Here is a 23,227-nt window from a genome sequence, read left to right as displayed (position 1 = left end):
CACAATTGTGAGGCCTCCCTAGCCATGTGGAACTGTGAGTCCGTTAAACCTCTTTCCTTTATAAATTACCCAGTCTCAGGTAAGTCTTTATTAGCATCAAGAAAACAGACTAATACAGCAAGTAAAGCAGAGCTGTCTTCTGTTTGTGCTGGAAGGCATCTGTAGCACAAGGGGTTGTTACAACTCACACACGTTGGTTGTCATAATTTATCTGAGGGCTCACTTGTTTGTATGGTAGTAACATGGCCCACAAACCTATCATCTCCTCTAGAACTCTCTCATTCAATTTCTTGAATCCTGGTCCAGCTTCATGAAGAAGGTCTCTGTGTTCTGCTGGAGGATACCCCAATTAGAAGTTGGAGGCTCGGAGGCAGTGACAGATTGACTCAGGTAGAGTCCTTTCTTGTGGATTATATACTGCAGATTGACATTTTTCCTTGCCTTCCACATGTATACCCATATTTTCTTATAAATTGGATGTCTTACATGTAACAATTGCCTCAAGAAACTATGTATTCAGTCCTACAATTGTCTATTTACATTGCATATTTTAAAAGACTACATACGATCTGTGCCACTTTTATAAAATTGTATTTCCTATATAACTTTTCTATGAAGACTTTTGCAATGAAAAGAAACTTTTCTATGTAACTTTTTGTAATTAAAAGAAAATCTTCCAGGAGGAGCCAAGATGGCCGAATAGGAACAGCTCCGATCTACAGCTCCCAGCAAGAGTGACGCAGAAGACGGGTGATTTCTGCATTTCCATCTGAGGTACTGGGTTCATCTCACTAGGAAGTGCCAGACAGTGGGCGCGGGTCAGTGGGTGCGTGCACCGTGTGCGAGCTGAAGCAGGGCAAGGCATTGCCTCACTTGGGAAGCGCAAGGGGTCAGGGAGTTCCCTTTCTGAGTCAAAGAAAGGGGTGAGGGACGGCACCTGGAAAATTGGGTCACTCTCACCCGAATACCGTGCTTTTCCAACGGGCTTAAAAAATGGCGCACCACGAGATTATATCCCACACCTGGCTCGGAGGGTCCTACGCCCACAGAGTCTCCCTGATTGCTAGCACAGCAGTCTGAAATCAAACTGCAAGGTGGCAGCAAGGCTTGGGGAGGGGCGCCCACCATTGCCCAGGCTTGATTAGGTAAACAAAGCAGTCCAGCAGGGAAGCTTGAACTGGGTGGAGCCCACCACAGCTCAAGGAGGCCTGCCTGCCTCTGTAGGCTCCACCTCTAGGGGCAGGGCACAGACAAACAAAAAGACAGGAGTAACCTCTGCAGACTTAAATGTCCCTGTCTGACAGCTTTGAAGACAGCAGTGGTTCTCCCAGCACGCAGCTGGAGATCTGAGAATGGGCTGACTGCCTCCTCAAGTGGGTCCCTGACCCCTGACCCCGGGCAGCCTAACTGGGAGGCACCCCCCAGCAGGGGCACACTGACACCTCACACGGCAGGGTATTCCAACAGACCTGCAGCTGAGGGTCCTGTCTGTTAGAAGGAAAACTAACAAACAGAAAGGACATCCACACCAAAAACCCATCTGTACATCACCATCATCAAAGACCAAAAGTAGATAAAACCACAAAGATGGGGAAAAAACAGAACAGAAAAACTGGAAACTCTAAAAAGCAGAGCGCCTCTCCTCCTCCAAAGGAACACAGTTCCTCACCAGCAATGGGGAACAAAGCTGGATGGAGAATGACTTTGACGAGCTGAGAGAAGAAGGCTTCAGACGATCAAATTACTCTGAGCTATGGGAGGACATTCAAACCAAAGGCAAAGAAATTGAAAACTTTGAAAAAAATTTAGAAGAATGTATAACTAGAATAACCAATACAGAGAAGTGCTTAAAGGAGCTGATGGAGCTGAAAACCAAGGCTCGAGAACTACGTGAAGAATGCAGAAGCCTCAGGAGCCGATGCGATCAACTGGAAGAAAGGGTATCAGCAATGGAAGATGAAATGAATGAAATGAAGTGAGAAGGGAAGTTTAGAGAAAAAAGAATGAAAAGAAACGAGCAAAGCCTCCAAGAAATATGGGACTATGTGAAAAGACCAAATCTACGTCTGATTGGTGTACCTGAAAGTGATGGGGAGAATGGAACCAAGTTGGAAAACACTCTGCAGGATATTATCCAGGAGAACTTCCCCAATCTAGCAAGGCAGGCTAACATTCAGATTCAGGAAATACAGAGAACGCCACAAAGATACTCCTCGAGAAGAGCAACTCCAAGACACATAATTGTCAGATTCACCAAAGTTGAAATGAAGGAAAAAATGTTAAGGGCAGCCAGAGAGAAAGGTCGGGTTACCCTCAAAGGGAAGCCCATCAGACTAACAGCGGATCTCTTGGCAGAAACCCTACAAGCCAGAACAGAGTGGGGGCCAATATTCAACATTCATAAAGAAAAGAATTTTCAACCCAGAATTTCATATCCAGCCAAACTAAGCTTTATAAGTGAAGGAGAAATAAAATACTTTACAGACAAGCAAATGCTGAGAGATTTTGTCACCACCAGGCCTTCCTTACAAGAGCTCCTGAAGGGAGCACTAAACATGGAAAGGAACAACCAGTACCAGCCGCTGCAAAATCATGCCAAAATGTAAAGACCATCGAGACTAGGAAGAAACTGCATCAACTAACGAGCAAAATAACCAGCTAACATCATAATGACAGGATCAAATTCACACATAACAATATTAACTTTAAATGTAAATGGACTAGATGCACCAATTAAAAGACACAGACTGGCAAATTGGATAAAGAGTCAAGACCCATCAGTGTGCTATATTCAGGAAACCCATCTCACATGCAGAGACACACATAGGCTCAAAATAAAAGGATGGAGGAAGATCTACCAAGCCAATGGAAAACAAAAAAAGGCAGGGGTTGCAATCCTACTCTCTGATAAAACAGACTTTAAACCAACAAAGATCAAAAGAGACAAAGAAGGCCATTACATAATGGTAAAGGGATCAATTCAACAAGAAGAGCTAACTACCCTAAATATATATGCACCCAATACAGGAGCACCCAGATTCATAAAGCAAGTCCTGAGTGACCTACAAAGAGACTTAGATTCCCACACATTAATAATGGGAGACTTTAACACCCCACTGTCAACATTAGACAGATCAACGAGACAGAAAGTCAACAAGGATACCCAGGAATTGAACTCAGCTCTGGACCAAGCGGACCTAATAGACATCTACAGAACTCTCCACCCCAAATCAACAGAATATACATTTTTTAAAGCACCACACCACACCTATTCCAAAATTCACCACATACTGGGAAGTAAAGCTCTCCTCAGCAAATGTAAAAGAACAGAAATTATAACAAACTATCTCTCAGACCACAGTGCAATCAAACTAGAACTCACGATTAAGAATCTCACTCAAAACCGCTCAACTACATGGAAACTGAACAACCTGCTCCTGAATGACCACTGGGTACATAACGAAATGAAGGCAGAAATAAAGATGTTCTTTGAAACCAAAGAGAACAAAGACACAACATACCAGAATCTCTGGGACACATTCAAAGCAGTGTGTAGAGGGAAATTTATAGCACTAAATGCCCACAAGAAAAAGCAGGAAAGATCCAAAATTGACACCCTAACATCACAATTAAAAGAACTAGAAAAGCAAGAGCAAACACATTCAAAAGCTAGCAGAAGGCAAGAAATAACTAAAATCAGAGCAGAACTGAAGGAAATAGAGATACAAAAAACCCTTCAAAAAATTAATGAATCCAGGAGCTGGTTTTTTGAAAGGATCAACAAAATTGATAAACCGCCAGCAAGACTAATAAAGAAAAAAAGAGAGAAGAATCAAATAGATGCAATAAAAAATGATAAAGGGGATATCACCACCGATCCCACAGAAATACAAACTACAATCAGAGAATACTACAAACACCTCTATGCAAATAAACTAGAAAATCTAGAAGAAATTGATAAATTCCTGGACACATACACTCTCCCAAGACTAAACCAGGAAGAAGTTGAATCTCTGAATAGACCAATAACAGGAGCTGAAATTGTGGCAATAATCAATAGCTTACCAACCAAAAAGAGTCCAGGAACAGATGGATTCACAGCCGAATTCTACCAGAGGTACAAGGAGGAACTGGTACCATTCCTTCTGAAACTATTCCAATCAATAGAAAAAGAGGGAATCCTCCCTAACTCATTTTATGAGGCCAGCATCATTCTGATACCAAAGCCAGGCAGAGACACAACAAAAAAAGAGAATTTTAGACCAATATCCTTCATGAACATTGACGCAAAAATCCTCAATAAAATACTGGCAAACTGAATCCAGCAGCACATCAAAAAGCTTATCCACCATGATCAAGTGGGCTTCATCCCTGGGATGCAAGGCTGGTTCAATATACGCAAATCAATAAATGTAATCCAGCATATAAACAGAGCCAAAGACAAAAACCACATGATTATCTCAATAGATGCAGAAAAAGCCTTTGACATAATTCAACAACCCTTCATGCTAAAAACTCTCAATAAATTAGGTATTGATGGGACATATTTCAAAATAATAAGAGCTATCTATGACAAACCCACAGCCAATATCATACTGAATGGGCAAAAACTGGAAGCATTCCCTTTGAAAACTGGCACAAGACAGGGATGCCCTCTCTCACCACTCCTATTCAACATAGTGTTGGAAGTTCTGGCCAGGGCAATTAGGCAGGAGAAGGAAATAAAGGGTATTCAATTAGGAAAAGAGGAAGTCAAATTGTCCCTGTTTGCATATGACATGATTGTATATCTAGAAAACCCCACTGTCTCAGCCCAAAATCTCCTTAAGCTGATAAGCAACTTCAGCAAAGTCTCAGGATACAAAATCAATGTACAAAAATCACAAGCATTCTTATACACCAACAACAGACAACAGAGAGCCAAATCATGAGTGAACTCCCATTCACAGTTGCTTCAAAGAGAATAAAATACCTAGGAATCCAACTTACAAGGGATGTGAAGGACCTCTTCAAGGAGAACTACAAACCACTGCTCAAGGAAATAAAAGAGGATAGAAACAAATGGAAGAACATTCCATGCTCATGGGTAGGAAGAATCAATATCGTGAAAATGGCCATACTGCCCAAGGTAATTTACAGATTCAATGCCATCCCCATCAAGCTACCAATGCCTTTCTTCACAGAATTGGAAAAAACTACTTTCAAGTTCATATGGAACCAAAAAAGAGCCCGCATCGCCAAGTCAATCCTAAGCCAAAAGAACAAAGCTGGAGGCATCACACTACCTGACTTCAAACTATACTACAAGGCTACAGTAACCAAAACACCATGGTACTGGTACCAAAACAGAGATATAGATCAATGGAACAGAACAGAGCCCTCAGAAATAATGCCACATATCTACAAATATCTGATCTTTGACAAACCTGAGAAAAACAAGCAATGGGGAAAGGATTCCCTATTTAATAAATGGTGCTGGGAAAACTGGCTAGCCATATGTAGAAAGCTGAAACTGGATCCCTTCCTTACACCTTATACAAAAATCAATTCAAGATGGATTAAAGACTTAAACGTTAGACCTAAAACCATAAAAACCCTAGAAGAAAACCTAGGCATTACCATTCAGGACATAGGCATGGGCAAGGACTTCATGTCTAAAACACCAAAAGCAATGGCAACAAAAGACAAAATTGACAAATGGGATCTAATTAAACTAAAGAGCTTCTGCACAGCAAAAGAAACTACCATCAGAGTGAACAGGCAACCTACAAAATGGGAGAAAATTTTCGCAACCTACTCATCTGACAAAGGGCTAATATCCAGAATCTACAATGAACTCAAACAAATTTACAAGAAAAAAACAAACAACCCCATCAAAAAGTGGGTGAAGGACATGAACAGACACTTCTCAAAAGAAGACATTTATGCAGCCAAAAAACACATGAAAAAATGCTCACCATCACTGGCCATCAGAGAAATGCAAATCAAAACCATAATGTGATACCATCTCACACCAGTTAGAATGGCAATCATTAAAAAGTCAGGAAACAACAGGTGCTGGAGAGGATCTGGAGAAATAGGAACACTTTTACACTGTTGGTGGGACTGTAAACTAGTTGAACCATTGTGGAAGTCAGTGTGGCGATTCCTCAGGGATCTAGAACTAGAAATACCATTTGACCCAGCCATCCCATTACTGGGTATATACCCAAAGGACTATAAATCATGCTGCTATTAAGATGCATGCACATGTATGTTTATTGCAGCACTATTCACAATAGCAAAGACTTGGAACCAACCCAAATGTCCAACAATGATAGACTGGATTAAGAAAATGTGGCACATATACACCATGGAATACTATGCAGCCATGAAATATGATGAGTTCTTGTCCTTCGTAGGGACATGGATGAAATTGGAAATCATCATTCTCAGTAAACTATCGCAAGGACAAAAAACCAAACACCGCATGTTCTCACTCATAGATGGGAATTGAACAATGAGAACACATGGACACAGGAAGGGGAACATCACACTCTGGGGACTGTTGTGGGGTGGGGAGAGGGGGGAGGGATAGCATTAGGAGATATACCTAATGCTAAATGACGAGTTAATGGGTGCAGCACACCAGCATGGCACATGTATACATATGTAACTAACCTGCACATTGTGCACATGTACCCTAAATCTTAAAGTATAATAATAATAAAATAAAATAAAATAAATAAAAAAAGAAAGACATGTTAAAAAGAATTAAAAAGTAAAAAAATAAATAAAAATAGAAAAAAAAACAAATTCAAACAGGGTAAAAGAGAACATTCAAAAATAGCCCATGCAGTTTACCAGTTATATTTTTCAAGCCAGTAAAATTGGAACAAAATATATTTGGCTGTAGATAACTCAGGAAGGCACAGCAAATTATTTGCAGCAAAACAAGGTTATTGGTTGTCCTATTTGATAAAATGATTAAAAATAAGTTTTACTATCCCACCTTAGGCATGTTTCCTCCTGCAGATAAATAATTAACATTATTTTAGATTGGTTTGTTTCAGACATCACGGTAATGATATATTCCTTCAACTCTAATTAATTGCATGCATAGAGCCGTAGAAAACATTTTGTGTAATCCAAAGGCTACTATTTATCAGGTGTTTCAGACTTTCAATCACTTGTGAAGAACCGGCTAAACGCAATTAGTGACAAGTTATTTCTTAGAAACAAACAGAATAATTAGAAGAGGTGGCTTGATATAACTAACAAAAAAGTCATTAGAAAGGTTGTATTCATGTTTCAAAATGAAGGGAATTGCAGTGTGAGAACATTACTGTGACTACTACAATAGAAGTTTTAAACTAAGATTTATTAACATGTTAGGTGGAGTGTTACATAACTTACATATGTATCCCTTTTAATATAAGTAAAGCATAATCTTCAACTCTGAGAATTCACATAAATTAAATGGAATGAAATGTAATTTGAATGGTCAGTAAATTGGTATCAAGGAATAGGGTGATAAAGAACCTCAGGATTTCTAAGTATTCTTACTATACTTTTAATTCATTTTCAATCTTTTCTTGAAATTGTTCCTTTTTGGGTCATTTTCATATTTTTTTCTTTTTTTTTTTAGACGGAGTCTTGCCCTGTCTCCCAGGCTGGAGTGCAATGGCATGACCTCGGCTCACTGCAACCTCCACCTCCCGGGTTCAAGCAATTCTCCTGCCTCAGCCTCCCGAGTAGCTGGGATTACAGGTATGAGCCACCACGCCCAACCACACATTTTTTTCTTTTACAAAACTAATTAGTTCGCTCTTTTTGGTACTGACCCAGTTTAGATTGGTCCTAAGTCATATGGTAACAGGTACATTGTGATTTATACACACACTATCTTTTAGTATTTAGGCATTTAGAAAGTTTGTTTAAAATTTTATAAATTTGCCCTCCATTTTGTTTACATCTCCCCAAAATCCTAACCAACTTAAGGGGTAATAATGTTTTCTCATTATTTGCTATTAGATTTATCTACTCAGTAAACAACTAACAAATATAATTTGCAGGGTGAGAAAATTTCATCAGATGAAGGAATGCCACAGAAACATCTCATTTTGAATATAAACCAATGTTTGGAAAACATTGTCTTCCAGAAGTTCTGTAGTTTTGAGTTTTACATTTAAGTCTTTAATCCATCTTGAGTTAATTTTTGTATATGATGTAAGGAAAGTGTCCAATTTCAATTTTCTGCACGTGGCTAACCAATTATCTCAGCTTCATTTATTGGATAGGAAATCCTGTCCCCATTACTTGTTTTTGTCAAGTGTGTCAAATATCAGATAGTTGTAGATGTCTTAGGACACACCAGCAAATACATTTTTAACCAAATTGATTAGACTTTAGTTTCTATTTTATTTATTTTTTATTTTTTATTTTATTATTATTATACTTTAAGTTTTAGGGTACATGTGCACAATGTGCAGGTTTGTTACATATGTATACATGTGCCATGTTGGTGTGCTGCACCCATTAACTCGTCATTTAGCATTAGGATAGTTTCTATTTTAATGGTCAGGAATAATGTGGAATAAAAAATCCTTGTTATATTTAAAAGTAATTCAGCTTTACTTATACTTAGGTTTATTAGCTGTCCTTCGGTGCAAGAACAATATCTTAACCTTAGCAGATCCACAGGGTCTATCAAGAGTATTTACTTGCAACATGATAATTAATACTAGCAAGGAATTAATTAGCTAATAACTAATTATCCTGTAGACAGTACTATTAAAATCTCAGCACTTTATACCAAGACATATTTACATATTGCTGAATTTTCATAAATTAATATTTCAATTATCTTTGGAACTTCTCATATTGAATTCTCAGGAATAGTTAAATATTGGAACTTTTGTTTTAAAATTTCTTTTTACATCTTATAATTTTTTTATTTCTCTAAGTTGATATTGTTTTATTATTTTATTTAAGAATTGAGACTATACTGAATTACTGAGCGTACTTCAGCTTAATTTTCCATTACATCAAACCCTTCTTTAAGAACCAAATTGATCCTAATGTTGTCATTTTTTTTTTGCATTTTCCTTTAACTTACAATTATTTTTATCTTAATTTTAGGAAAACTATAACCCTGTTTAATATCGTCTCCCAAGTCAAAACCAGAGAAATAAAGCAATAAAGGAAACATTAGAAAAAAATGTTTTCTAATTGCTGTAGATACAAAGTTTATAAACAAGGTCAATCACAGAAGGTGGAAAACAATCATTTTGGTGAGGTTTTAGTTGTGTTGTGTGTGCCTATATATGAGATAACATTTATTAGGCTATCAATGTTAATCTCATCCAAGAAGGGGAGAGTACATTGATCTCTGAGACTCAATTTATTTCTAATTAGTAAATTAAAAGTCAGTTTATCAACTAGCAAATATTGCCTAATAACCTGAAACAGAATAAACACTAATATTATTTATATTTTACCAACATTTAAAATATTGTGCATCTGTTGTTTGTAAAAATCTGAATACTCCGGTTTAAAAAAGCTTCTAAATTTTATTTATAGAAAATAATAATCTGAATTTCATTTTACAAAATTTTATGAGCAAATATTGTTGATATTTTTCACAGGTAAAATATAGGCATTATGAAATGTAAACTAGAAAAGAAAGTGTAGATTCATGTGGCTTAGCTGAATCAGTGAGTACAAAATGAAGAATTATGAGAAAATAATTAAATATTGTACTCTATACATAGAGACACTCCTTCAAATAATCAATAATTTTGAGAGATGATCATATTACAGTAAAAGTTTTTTTGTTTGTTTTACTTTTTATAATTGCTTATTAAAAGGACGAGTGAGAAACTGGAGTGTATTAAGCATACAATGGTAGGGAACTAGAAACATCAGCCTTGACACTAACTTCATCCATAACTAACTGAAAATGTAAAAGAGATGTTGGGGGTCACATAATTCACTTCATATATTTTGATATCCATTATGATAATATTTTATTTTAATACTGTAATTGAAAGATAAATTTGCAGGTATTTATTTTGTACATGATATTTTTGAAATATATATATATTGTGTGGTGACTGAATCTAGCTTATTAACATATGCATTACCTTACATTGTTATTAATTCTGTGATGATTAATATCTAAAATACATAAGGAAAACAAACAACCTAATTAAAACGAAAGCAAAATATCTGGACAGACATTTCTCAAAAGAAAATATAAATGGCCAACAAGGCTATGGAAAAAAATGCTCAACATCATCATGGAAATTCATATTAAAGCCACAATGAGCTATCACTTCATATCTGTTAGAATGGTTATTATAAAAAATCCAAAAAAATTGTTGGTTAGGGTATGGAGAAAAAGGAACTAGCACACTGTTGGTAGGAATGTAAATTAGTCCCGCCTTTGTGGAAACAGTATAAAGTTTTCTCACAAATTTAAAATTGAACTATCATATGATCCAGCAATCTCACTACTGAGTGTGTGATATATATATATATATATATATATATATATAGAGAGAGAGAGAGAGAGAGAGAGAGAGAGTACAAAACCAGTGTATTGAAGAGATATCCACACTCCCATGTTTATTGTAGCACTATTCACAGTAGCCAAGATCTGGAGTCAACCTGTGTCCATGAACAGGTTAATGGATAAAGAAAACATGACATATATACACAATGGAATACTATTCAACCACAGAAAAGAAGGAAATTCTGGCATTTGTGACAAGTGTGAACTTGGAAGACATTACGTTAAGTCAAAAATCCAGCCACAGGAAGACAAATACCACATAAACTCTGTCATATGTGGAATCTAAAAGAGTTTAACTTATATAAGTAGACAGTAGAAGGGTAATTACCAGAGGTTGGAGTGGTTGGAAATGAGATTTGAAAGATGTTCATCAAAGGATAGAAAACTACAGTTAGATAGGAGGAATAAAATTTTAAGAGATCTATGGTACAACATGGTGACTTTAGTTACCAATATATTGTGTTCTTGAAAAATGCTGACAGTGGATGTAAAATGTTCACAAATAAAATATTAACTCTGTGAGATGATGTTAGAAATTAATGTAAGTATTTCTTTTTGTCTCACGATAGGTATGTGAACAAGGGTGATGGTTGCTTTGATGGTTGAAATGCAGATGAAGGCCGTTGCCTTCTTTCAATGTTCTTCAAGAGCTTTTGAAGGGAAAGGACCAACGTAGCATAGAAAAAAAATGTTAAATGTAGTGTCAAAAACTTCCATCATAAACTTAATATATACACTAATTCGAAAAGGTTATCTGTATCTCTGAGGATTAGTTACCTCATCATAACAATATGTGGTATATAGTTGGATTATTAGGAAGGCTGAATTAAAATGTAAGTGACGTGTCAGAAATGTAAGTTATTTTAGTAGTAATACCATATTTACTTAATTTAATATTTTAATAGGCATATATCAGTGATTTTGCTTTAATATTTTAAGAAAATTATTTTATTTTATTTGAAATACTAATAAAACTTATTTAATCTACAAGTTCTTGTTTTCCAAAAATATCACTGCAATATGAATTCAGATGGTTGACATGTAAAAATTGCAACCCTCTCTAGTTGAATAAATTTCCTATAAATGTTCATCTCCTTTAATTGATGTTCATTCATGCAAGAAAATATATAACACCAATCAAATTGCAGATGTAGTAATGAAAAAGCAAAACTGTGCTGTGAGTTTTGAAGACCTCTTTAATTTGACAGCAGTTACCTGACTAGAAAGAAAATAGACAGAATTATTTAGTACTGCAGAATTTGCTGCTGGGTTAAAATTGACATTGAAGGAGCCTACCCTTTGACAATGCCCCCATTGGCAACAGTGCCACCATGTCACCGTAAATAATCCTGCTGGGATCAATTGCCATGCTCCCTAGGGAAATTGTTGTCCATAATATCACAAAAAAGTAATGAGAGCAAAAGATTTTCTGCAAGAACATGAGGCTTTTCTAAGCATTAAACTAACAAAGCTTGAACTAAGTCAGCCGAGAAGTACACTGTGGGAAACTGCACAGAAACTGCACATCAGCAAAACGTCTTGGCAGAAAATGGACATGTAGAAGTGCAGTGACTGTCTTATTTATTCACCACTCTTGGGAACACTAATGTGAAAGTGACTAATATGGTATAATAGTTCCCAGAACCAATTAATTAATCATAGCATGCCATTAATAGATACATTCCTTGGGGGAAATATTTCATGCGCAGGGAAATTAAAGCATTTTATTATGATAAAGTTTCCCTAGTCAAAAATGCTTTAAATTTACATTCTCACACAGTTAACTAAGTGGGTATGAATTTATTTTTCTATTGTCTACAGGTGATTTCTGGAGAGAAATATCTTAAGTGTTCATGTGGAGTGGAATTAGAGCATGGCTCTTTTTGTCATCTCCTACTCTGCATTCACTGAAAATATTTTGTGCATTGATCCTACTTCCTAGATGAATATAATGGAGCTCAGAAAGCTTAAGTGATTTGCAAGTTGTGGCAGGGCTGGTAAGTGGCAGTGTTGTTTTTGTACTGCAAGTTTGGAATTGAAATCTCTCTCAACCATGCAGCTTTCTTTGTATGGCAGAATTATAACCACATCTAAAAAATCAAATTCTGAAACAATATGAGCTACATTTTACCATATCAAGAACAGTTAATAAGGATATATTTGAATGGCTTTGATCCATTTGATCCGATTAATTTTTATGGCCACATTGTGAATTATAGGCATTTTAAATTTAATTCTGTTTTTTAACTGAAATTTGGCAAACATATTTAAAACACTTGTGTTCTCACCACATAAATGACAAGTATGTGAGGTAATGCATATTTCTATTAGCTAGATTCAGTCATTCCACATGTATATATAATTTAAGACATATAATGTATAGAATTTTATCTGTCAGTTAAAATAATAAATCATAAGTCAGAAAAATATTCACTGATATTGGACAGAATGTTTAGGCATATCAATTACTGAGTTTATATTAAAAGACAAATAGCTGTCTAGCTTAAAAATAGTTATAGTATTTTTATAGCCATCTCTGGTTATCTCTGCAATTAACCCTGGATCAAATTTCCATTCTTTTCTTTAATACTCAGACTACTTCAAAGAAAATCAGATATGAAATTTTGTTGAAGGCTCTATGAGGTAAACTCGGTCATGTGTGGAGAGACTTCATAGCACACCACTATGCATGATTTATACTCAAGTACAACTCATATATCTTCTTCCCACAAAACATCTTCCTCCATTCCCTTGATCCCTTGTTTTTTCCAGGCTTTTCTTGGACTCCCATGGGAAGAATATACTATAATATTCAAGAGGGCTTAGGAGGACAACAGACTAGTGTTGGCCCTGAAACCATCATCTACTCTGGTTAAAAAGTTTAACCTAGATTTATACTGACAATAAAACCTACCACATAAGGTTAAAATGGGTATTAATAAGAAGACTTTAATGTGTTTAGCACAACATACAACTAACTATACTTATTGTGATAATGCTGACAAAAAGTGTTTGAGGCAGAGAAGGAAAATCGTTAGTCCATTTTACATGATCTCCATCCTTCTTTCCCCAGAGTATATAACATACAATACAACTAAAAATGAATTTAAGACATTTAAGCTTTTTAGGCTTATCTTCTGATAATATTACCATTCATAAGTTCTTCTAAAGATGGCTTTTTAAAATTATACTTTAAGTTCTGGGATACATGTGGAGAATGTGCAGGTTTGTTACATATATACACGTGCCATGGTGGTTTGCTGCACCCATCAACCTGTCGTCTACATTAGGTATTTCTGCAAATGCTATCCCTCCCCTAGACCCACACCCCCTGACAGGCCCTAGTGTGTGATGTTCCCCTCTCTGTGTCCATGTGTTCTCATTCTTCAACTCCCACTTATGAGGGAAAACATGCGGTGTTTGATTTTCTGTTCATGTGTTAGTTTGCTGAGAATGATGGTTTCCAGTTTCATCCATGTCCCTGCAAAGAACAGGAACTCATCCTTTTTTATGGCAGCATAGTATTCCATGGTGTATGTGTACCACATTTTCTTTATCCAGTCTATCATTGATGGGCATTTGGGTTGGTTCCAAGTCTTTGCTATTGTGAACATTGCTGCTACAGATGTTACAGACAGCTTTATAAAGTAAGCACTCAAAATCCTGGCTAGAGTCTTGTCTTCCTCCTAGGTCATCCTCTTGAGGTTATCTTCATATTTCTTTTGCACTAGAATCCCAGATAATATGCTAGCCTTCTTAATTATGTTTAACTTGTTTTATCTGTCACAGTGCTTTAAGTCAGTGAATTAACCAAGAGCAGATTTCAGGGTCTATTTATATCCATGTTCACTGGTTAGCTGAGAGGTGGTTTTTCTAGACAAATATGGTGCTTGAGTTTTATTGTTAATTCTGATCCTACGAATTAATGCACAACATTCTGCAAGCTTTATGGGTAAAGTTTACAATGTCTTTATAATAATGTAATGTCTTTTAAGAATAAAAATTACAAAACAACCAAAACGACCTATATGGTTTCAAACTGTGATATTTTTCTATTTCTTTTCGGGCTGCTACAGAAAGTATATCCATATTCTAATACACATTTAAAATGATTTTGTTATATTAGAAATCACTGTAAGTGACTAAGAAGAAAAAGCAATATGAATATAATTTTAACTGCCATAGACTTTTTATTGAGATGAGTTTTGCAGTTCTAGTAATCAACAGAAGAATTTTAAAAGAAAAATAATTAGAATAATCTCTCTTTGTTTCAGTGCCAGGCACTGATCTCGGTTCTGGCATTAGAGGTAAGCATGATAGTTAAAAATTTCTAGTCTCATAGAATTTATATTCTGGTGGGTGAGAGAAACAATAAACTATGTTTTAGTAAAAATATACAGGATATTAGATGATTCTAAGGAGGAAAATGAAGCAGGGAAGAAAAACAGGGAGTGCTTGGAATATTTCTAGTAATATGATTAAGGAAGGCAACAATTTGAGAAAACATTTGAACAAAATGATGAACAAGGTAAATTGGTGAGACATGTGGCTTTCAGAAAGGACATTGCACTCATAGGAAATGAGTACAGGGAAGCAAGTCTGGAAAATTTGAAAACCAAGGCTGAGGCTTCAGTGGACCAAATGAAGGAAAAATCTCCAGTGATAGCAGAGAGCAAATGAGACATGGGCTATGTCAGATTGTGGAGAGGAACTTATGAGTCATCGTAAGATTCTTGGATTTTACTTTGAGTGAGATGGAAAGTAAGTAGAGAGTACTACAAGGAAAATTGGTGAGACATGTGGATATCAGAAAGAACATTGCACTCATAGGAAACGAGTACAGGGTAGCAAGTCTGGAAAATTTGAAAAGCAAGGCTGAGGCTTCAGTGGACCAAGTGAAGGAAAAATCTCAAGAGTGATGGCAGAGAGGAAATGAGACATGCGCTATGTCAGATTGTGGAGAAGAACTTATGAGTTTTTCCAGGAATCTTGGATTTTACTTTGAGTGAGATGGAAAGTAAGTAGGGAGTACCGATTGAATAATATCATCAGCACTTTGGTTTCTTTGTTGATAATCGATTGAGGTGGGCCAGTGTGAAAGTTGAAAAATATGACATTATCTAAGTAAGAGATGATGGTAGTTTGAAACATGGGGGTAGATGGAGATGTAGAGGGACAAAAAATAGATTGTACATAGTTTTGCATTAACAAGATTCCCCCATAGATTGATTGATTATTGAATGCTTAAGAAGAATTATGCATGACTCTAAATTTATTAGACTGAACAACTGCAAAAATGGAATTATCTTAGTAAAATGGTGGATGATACAGGTGAAAATGTTGACAGTTGTGGTTATATTAAATATAAGCTATCCATTAAATATTTAATTGGAGATGTTAAATAGGTATTTGGACATATGAATCTGAAATACAGGAGAGAGGTCTGGCCCAGAAATAAACTGTTGGAAATTAACTTTAATTTGCATGAGAAACATAGATGGAAAATTAAGTGATTATAGACGGTAAACAGTTGATACAAACAGTAGATCATTCTTCTTGTTGAAGAAATAAATTGTTCTTGTATCACTGTATTTCTAGATACATTGTTTTGGGGGCAAATGGAGATAACTAGCATAACAAACAGAACATGGTTGTTATTAAATAGCATTAAATTTACTGAGTAAAATGGAAAAATATATTTGGAGTTATTGTTTTATATTAAAAAGTTAAATAACATAATTAACTTATAAGTATAAAAATTATAAATAAATTTATAGAAAATAATTTTGTTACCATTTCCTATCACATCTTTAGGCATTAAAAAATTGTTAACACTTATTTAATCATAATTATCTTCACAAAATGTTTTTGACATTGATGGAACAGGGATTTGCAAAAGAGAAAACTGAGAAACAATTTGGATTTCCTAGAGCTACTCAACTGGTCTGTTCCATAATTGGAAGAGTGCTGGCAAAAAAACATAAGATAATTTTACTTAATGTTCTGATTTTACAGAGAAAAACCTGAGACACAGAATGCTCAGTGAATTACCCACATCTCTTCCTGATCATATTTTAAATGTCAAAACATTTGCCTTTATAAAGTCAGTTTTTCAATGTGAAATATGTGGAAAGTCTCACTAAAATACCAGTTTGTTTCGAAGAAAAGCAAGATTGGCTTCACATAATATAATTCTTTCAAGAAATTTGTCTCATATTTTATTTTATTCTTGATGTTAGCCACTTTAAAAAGCTTATGTAGATGATGAAGTGAACATTAAATTAGTAACACACCTATTGAGATTAAATCAGTATACACAATTTGAGTCCTTGTCTTTAATGAGTTATGTGTTTGATTTTGACAATTTTGTCAAGAGTACATATAAATAAAAATTTCAAAAAAAAGTTATTTTAGGCATTGGGACAAGATACTTGAACTGTAATTTGTGATCCAACCAAGAAACATATTTTATTCTCTCCCAAATGTTTTGGGAGAGAATAAAGTATTCTTTAGAGAGAATAAAATATTTGGAAGGTGTCTATTTTTTGTCTTTTGTTTTCTTTGTTTTTTTCAATATCATACCTGATGTGTTTGCTTTGTTTGTTTGTATTTACATGGTATTGTATCTAGAAAAATAATTCAGTGCAGACGTTGAGGTCGGGGCCAGCAGATTTGTATAATTATCTTTTTCATCACTGAAGTGCCATTATATATCAACCAAGGCATGCAAAACCTTTGGTTTCATGTAAAGCAAAATACAGTAATTAACGTTTATAATGTATTCTCCATGTAAGTGTAATGAATTTACCATCTGACACCATAATTTTGAAAAACAGAAAAGCTTGAAAATAATTTAAAAGGGCTTTACATTTAAATTTAGATACAATTACTTAAGACTGATGATGAGAAAGACAACTGGAATCCTTCTTATTAATGACCATATGGATATAAATATAGGTAGAGATTTGAGAGAGGATTTGCTGCTCACATTTTTTCTTTAGCACCATAACTCATTTCCTAAAGACCCTCTTCCAGTGAATGACTTTGTGAAAAGTTTTAGGGAGCACTGGACATTCTTTGCTCTCAGATATTCTGGCAAGTTAACAGAACATAAGCTTGAGTGAGTTTATTCTACATAAATGGATATCTCTATAAATAAATAAATATATATATGTGTGTGTGTCTGTGTGTTTGTGTATATGCATACACATATATACACATATATAAAACCAAATTGAACTTTTTATTTTTATCTGTAAACTTGAACTATATTAAAACAAGAAAAGTAACTTTCCAAGCCATGAATTGCCATGGAAGAAAAAATAAATTACTATAAAACTTTATCTTGAGGAAAATGAAAAGACAATTTATCTGTCTTCAAAAGATGGGTTACAACAGGTTTCTAATTAATCACTGCAAACTTTTTATTAGTGAGTTTCTCTTTCAGTTCAGGGAGAGGTAGTAAAACCTATTAAACCACAGGAATAATTATAGTTGAAAATATAAATTGTAACTTTTTGCAAAAATTTTACTGTTACTATTGTAATTGTGATAATGGCAAGATGTCAGTTAATCAAGACTACCAAAACAATGTTTAAACTATATAATGATTTTCATTTTTCCACTCAAGCTGAAGTAAAATATTAATTATGTATTATACATCAGTGTTATCATAAACTTATTTTAAGACAAGTATAACGCAATTAACCACAGACATTGAGAAACTTGTTTTCTAAAAATAAAACCAAAATTGAATTTACAAATTTTACCTATCAACAAAAAATTAACAGTAATTAACTGAGCACAGATATTGGGCTTAGCCTTATGCTAGAATAGAAAGATTATAATAAAAATAATAGACAACTATGATACTTTCATCAATGTATGAGAATTTCACAAAATACAAGTATTTCTACTACTATAATAAAAGGCACTTCTACTTGCTCAAGTTTAACAGATAAGATTATACGAAAAGTACTACAAAACATATGTTTGTATTGAAAAAGAAATACATCTAAGTATGTCATTTATTTCAAGGAGCATTTTGTTTCTATCAAGATATATCTATGTAATTTAGCAGCTGTCAGTTGTAATTTAAATTGTTTGTAAAATGATATAAATAATTCATAGTCAAAGAGGTAGAAAACTGTATAATCTTTCTTTGTATGTTAGACAAATTATAGAGTATATCAGAAAGAAAAAAAATAGCAAACCTTAAATAAATAATAAAAGGAAAGAGTACCCTAAATGCTATTGATGCTTGAATTAATATAAAGAAGCCCCCTTTCCCTGTTGGATAGGATGCTCGACTTCATATGCATTTTGTCATAGAATGCAATTCATTTCTCTTTGAATTTACTGTCATTTCAGTAATTATGTAATTTCGTAAGTGTGTACCTTTTGTGTAGTTAGGGAGTCTTCCCAGGGCACTATGACCAAGCATGATCTCCAGGCAGTCCCTCATACTCTCCCTTTATAGGGAGGCCCTTCTAGTTTCTATTACTACTGTTCTGATTGTCTTCACACTGTGCCTACTCAATTATCATCCTCCAAAGTAATCATTTGTGATATTTTCCTAAAGTACCTGAACAAAATAATGCCTAGCGCCTTTTAACTAATGCAGCCAAATATATGAATTTAAAACTACACAATTTTCTGCACCTAATTAAAGATTATGATTAACTATATGTATAATAATCCTAAAACTAAATACTATACTCTCACAGATAATTACTGATCTCTGAAAGACAACAAAGTAATATATAGTAATATTGATTTTGATTTGAATAAATTATAAACTCAGGTTTGGCAGACAAATTAATAAATTAATCTCTAATATCTGTAAGAGAATTTAGAATTTCATATATAGGGGTACAAAGAGAAAAATTATCAAGGAAATGGTTCAGTAGGTATGAATTTTGTGTTTCACAATTACCATGGTATATTATATATGTTTAACTGTAGTGATGTAATTTAAACAGAAACACCCTCAGAGACATGGGGTTAAATATTCCTCATACAGGAGCACATGTCCATTTTTCTTTTAGTTCAAATAATTCATTTTTCTGCCTCAAGGAATAAAAGATGAATCTCTCTAAGTTTTTGAATAAATATTACATTGCATGACAATATATGTGTGTGTTGCACAGGAAAATTTTACTACGCTTTACAAGTTAGAATTTAAAAATAAAAATGATATGCAGAGTTAATCACCTTTTGCTTTGCAGACAATATTAAGATATTTGAGATAATTTTACAGATATTTAATTTTACTTGGTACTGAGCATTTTTAGACAAAGATTTCAATATTATAGATACTATTCTCCTAAACTAAAGTGAAAATTTAATTACATTACACTTTCTTTCACATGACCATCACTTTTGTAAACTATGAAACATAAATGTCTACATGTTTAAAATTGGTTTTATGTATGTTAGATATATTTGAAGTAGTTTTCCTGTGTTAATTATTGTCTTCAACTGTTTTGGCACATCTTAATTAAAATATCTTATATAAAACATAAGAATTAAGTGACGCTATTTCATTAAACCATTATTAAAATATTCCTGAGAAATGTATCCTTTGTATCTAGGAAAACCGGACCTCAAACAACTTCATTTTAAAAGTTCATCGAAGGTTGGATTGTCTTTGCACAATTTAGATTTAAATAAATTATAAGCTTACGTCAGAGAAACCAATAAATTAATCTTTCATATCAGCAAAGCAATTTTGAATGCTTTCATAAATAGAGGTGCAAGGAGAAGCACCAATAAACATCTTGTCTTCTCCAAAGAAAAGATCAATAAAATGAAAAGTTGTTTTTCTAAAAAGATAAACAAAAGAGATGAACCCTTATATAGACTAAAAAAGAGAAGAGAGATCCAAATAATTAAAATTAGAAACAAAAAAGGAGACACAAACAACTGAGACCTCAGAAATACAAAGAATCATTATAAGAGGCTAAGAGATTATAATGATCAACTGTATGCCAACAAACTTGAAAACCTAGAAGAAACGAATGAATTCCTGAATGCATACAACCTACCAAGATTGAGCCATGAAGAAATAGAAAACGAACGCCAATAATGAGGAGATTTAAGCCTGATGTTAAAATCTCAAAGAAAAATCCAGTACCTGGTAGATTCACTGATTAATTCCACCAAACATTTAAAGAAGAACCAATACTAATTCTACCTCAAATTTACCAAAACAATTGAAAAGGAAGGAACACTTCCAAACTCATTCAAAAAGATCAGCATACTCTGATACCAAAACCAGACAAGGACACAACAACAAAAGAAAACTACAGGTCAATATCCCTGATGAACATAGATACAAAAATTCTCAACAAAATACTACCAAACCAAATTCAACAACACATTAAAAAGATTACTCACCATGATCAAGTGGGATTCGTCCCAGAGATGCAAGGATGTTTCAATATATGCAAATCAATAAATATAATACACCACATTAACAGAATCAAGAACAAAAATCATATGATTTCTATTTCAATATATGCCATCAGAAAGCATTTGATAAAATTCAACACATTTTATCATAAAAATCCTCATCAAAATGGAAAGACAAGGAAAATACATCAAAATAATAGAGGTCATATATGATGAACCCATGGTTAACATCATTTTGAATAGGGAAAAATTGAAGGCCTTTCCTATAAATAGTGGAAGGAGACAAGGAAGCTCACTTTTCACCACTGTTACCCAACATAACCCTGGAAGTCTTTGGCAGAGCAACTAGGCAAAAAAGGAAATAAGGGCATCGAAATTGGAAAGGAAGAAGTCAAATTAGCCTGATTTGAAGATGACATGATCTTCTAGAAAAACCTAAAGATTCCAGAAAAAACAAAAGCAAAAACCTGTTAAAACTGATAAATTCAGTAAAGTTGCAGGATACAAAATTAACATACAAAAACAGTTGCATTTATACACACCAATAGGGAACAATTTGAAAAAGAAATCAAGATAGCAATCACATTTACAATAGTTACAAAAATATAAAATATGTAGGAATCTAACTAATGATGTGAAAGATCTATCCAAGAAAAACTATAAAACTCAGATGAAAGAAATATAATTTCTTCAAAACAAAAAGAAAATTACAGGCCAACATTCCTGATGAACATAGATAAAATATGTCAATGGAATTTACTGTTCTCCACAGTGGATTTACTAATTTACATTTCTACCAACAGTGTACAAGGATTCCCCTTTTTCCATCTCCTCACCAGTATCTATTATTGCCTGTCTTTTTGATATGAGCCACTTTAACTGGGGTGGGTTGATATTTCGTTGTGGTTTGATTTTCATTTCTTTGATGATGAGTGATGTTGAGCACTTTTTCATCAGAGAAAAATGAAAAGATATTACATGCTCATGAATTAAAAAAATTAATGTTCAAATGGCAACACTATCAAAATCAGTTTACAGATTCAGTGCAATCTTATCAAAATATTCATGACATTCTTCACAGAAAGAGAAAAAAAATCCCCAAATTTATATGGAACCATAAGAAAGAAACCCCAAATAGCTAAAGTAATTCTGAACCAAAAGAACAAAGCTGGAGGCATCACACTATCTGACTTTAAAATTTACTATAAAGCTATAATAACCAAAGTATCATGGCATTGGACTGAAAACAGGCACATAGACCAATGGGGCAGAATAGAGAACCCAGATATATATCCATACATTTACAACCCACTCATCTTTGACAAAGGCACCAAGAACAGGCAAGTACTTTCAGTAAATGGTACTGGTATATATAGACTTTTGTATAACTTTATGCAAAAGAATAAAACTAGACACCTGTATCTCACCAACCAATAAATGAAAGTAAAACATGGTTTAAAAACTGAAATGTAGGATCTGAAACTATAAAACTACTGGAGGAAAACACTGGGGGAAAACTCCAGGATATTGCTCTGGAAAAAGATTTTTTGTGTGTGTTTAAGACCTGAAAACCCCAGGCAACCAAAGCAAAAGTAGACAGCTGTGATTACATCAATCTAACAAAGCTTCTGCACAGCAAAGGAAACAATTAGAGAAGTGAATAGACAACACACAGAGTAAGAGAAAATATTTGCAAACTATCTATCTGACAAGGAACTAATAACCAGAATATATAAGGAGCTCAGACAACTCAATAGTTTTTTTTAAAAAAAGCAAATAATCTGATTTTAAAAATTGGCAAAAGATCTGAGCAGATATTTCTCAAAAGAAGACATACAAATGGCCCATACATATATGGAAAAATGTTCAACATCACTAATCATCAAAGAAGTGCAAATCAAAACCACAATCAAATATCATCTCATCCCAGTTAAAATGGCTTGTATCGAAATGGTTTATATCAAAAAGGTATCAAAAATAACAGATACCGGTGAGGAGGTAGAAAAGGGGAATTCTTGTACACTGACGGTAGAAATGTAAATTAAGGCAGCCACTATGGAGAACAGTATAAGGTTCCTGTAAACATGTAAAAATAGAGCTACCATATTATTCAGAAATCCCATTGATGTTTATATGTCCAAAAGAAAGGAAATCATTTGACAAGTGTGGTAGCCCACACCTGTAATCCCAACATTTAGGGAGGTGGAGGCAAAATGATTGCTTGAGGCCAAGATTTCTACACCATCCTGGTTAACATAG

General features: G+C 34.2%; 1 long non-coding RNA gene across 1 annotated transcript in view, besides 1 other annotated feature; it reads right to left on the bottom strand.

Moving 5' to 3' along the window:
• LOC105371657 (uncharacterized) overlaps positions 1–23,227 on the bottom strand; it is a 453,818-nt gene that overhangs the window by 128,133 nt on the left and 302,458 nt on the right. The gene's annotated exons all lie outside the window — the stretch shown is intronic.
• Positions 15,192–15,392: a silencer, noted in NCBI's record as "peak540 fragment used in MPRA reporter construct". NCBI's record gives its function as "represses an SCP1 promoter by STARR-seq MPRAs in K562 erythroleukemia cells {active_cell/tissue: K562}" and the evidence as "EXISTENCE:reporter gene assay evidence [ECO:0000049][PMID:32103011]".

The sequence above is a fragment of the Homo sapiens genome, chromosome 1 (genome assembly GCF_000001405.40).
Source record: "Homo sapiens chromosome 1, GRCh38.p14 Primary Assembly".
NCBI lineage: Eukaryota > Metazoa > Chordata > Mammalia > Primates > Hominidae > Homo > Homo sapiens.
Note: the sequence above shows the minus strand (reverse complement) of the source record. Positions and strands in the feature narration are given on the sequence as shown.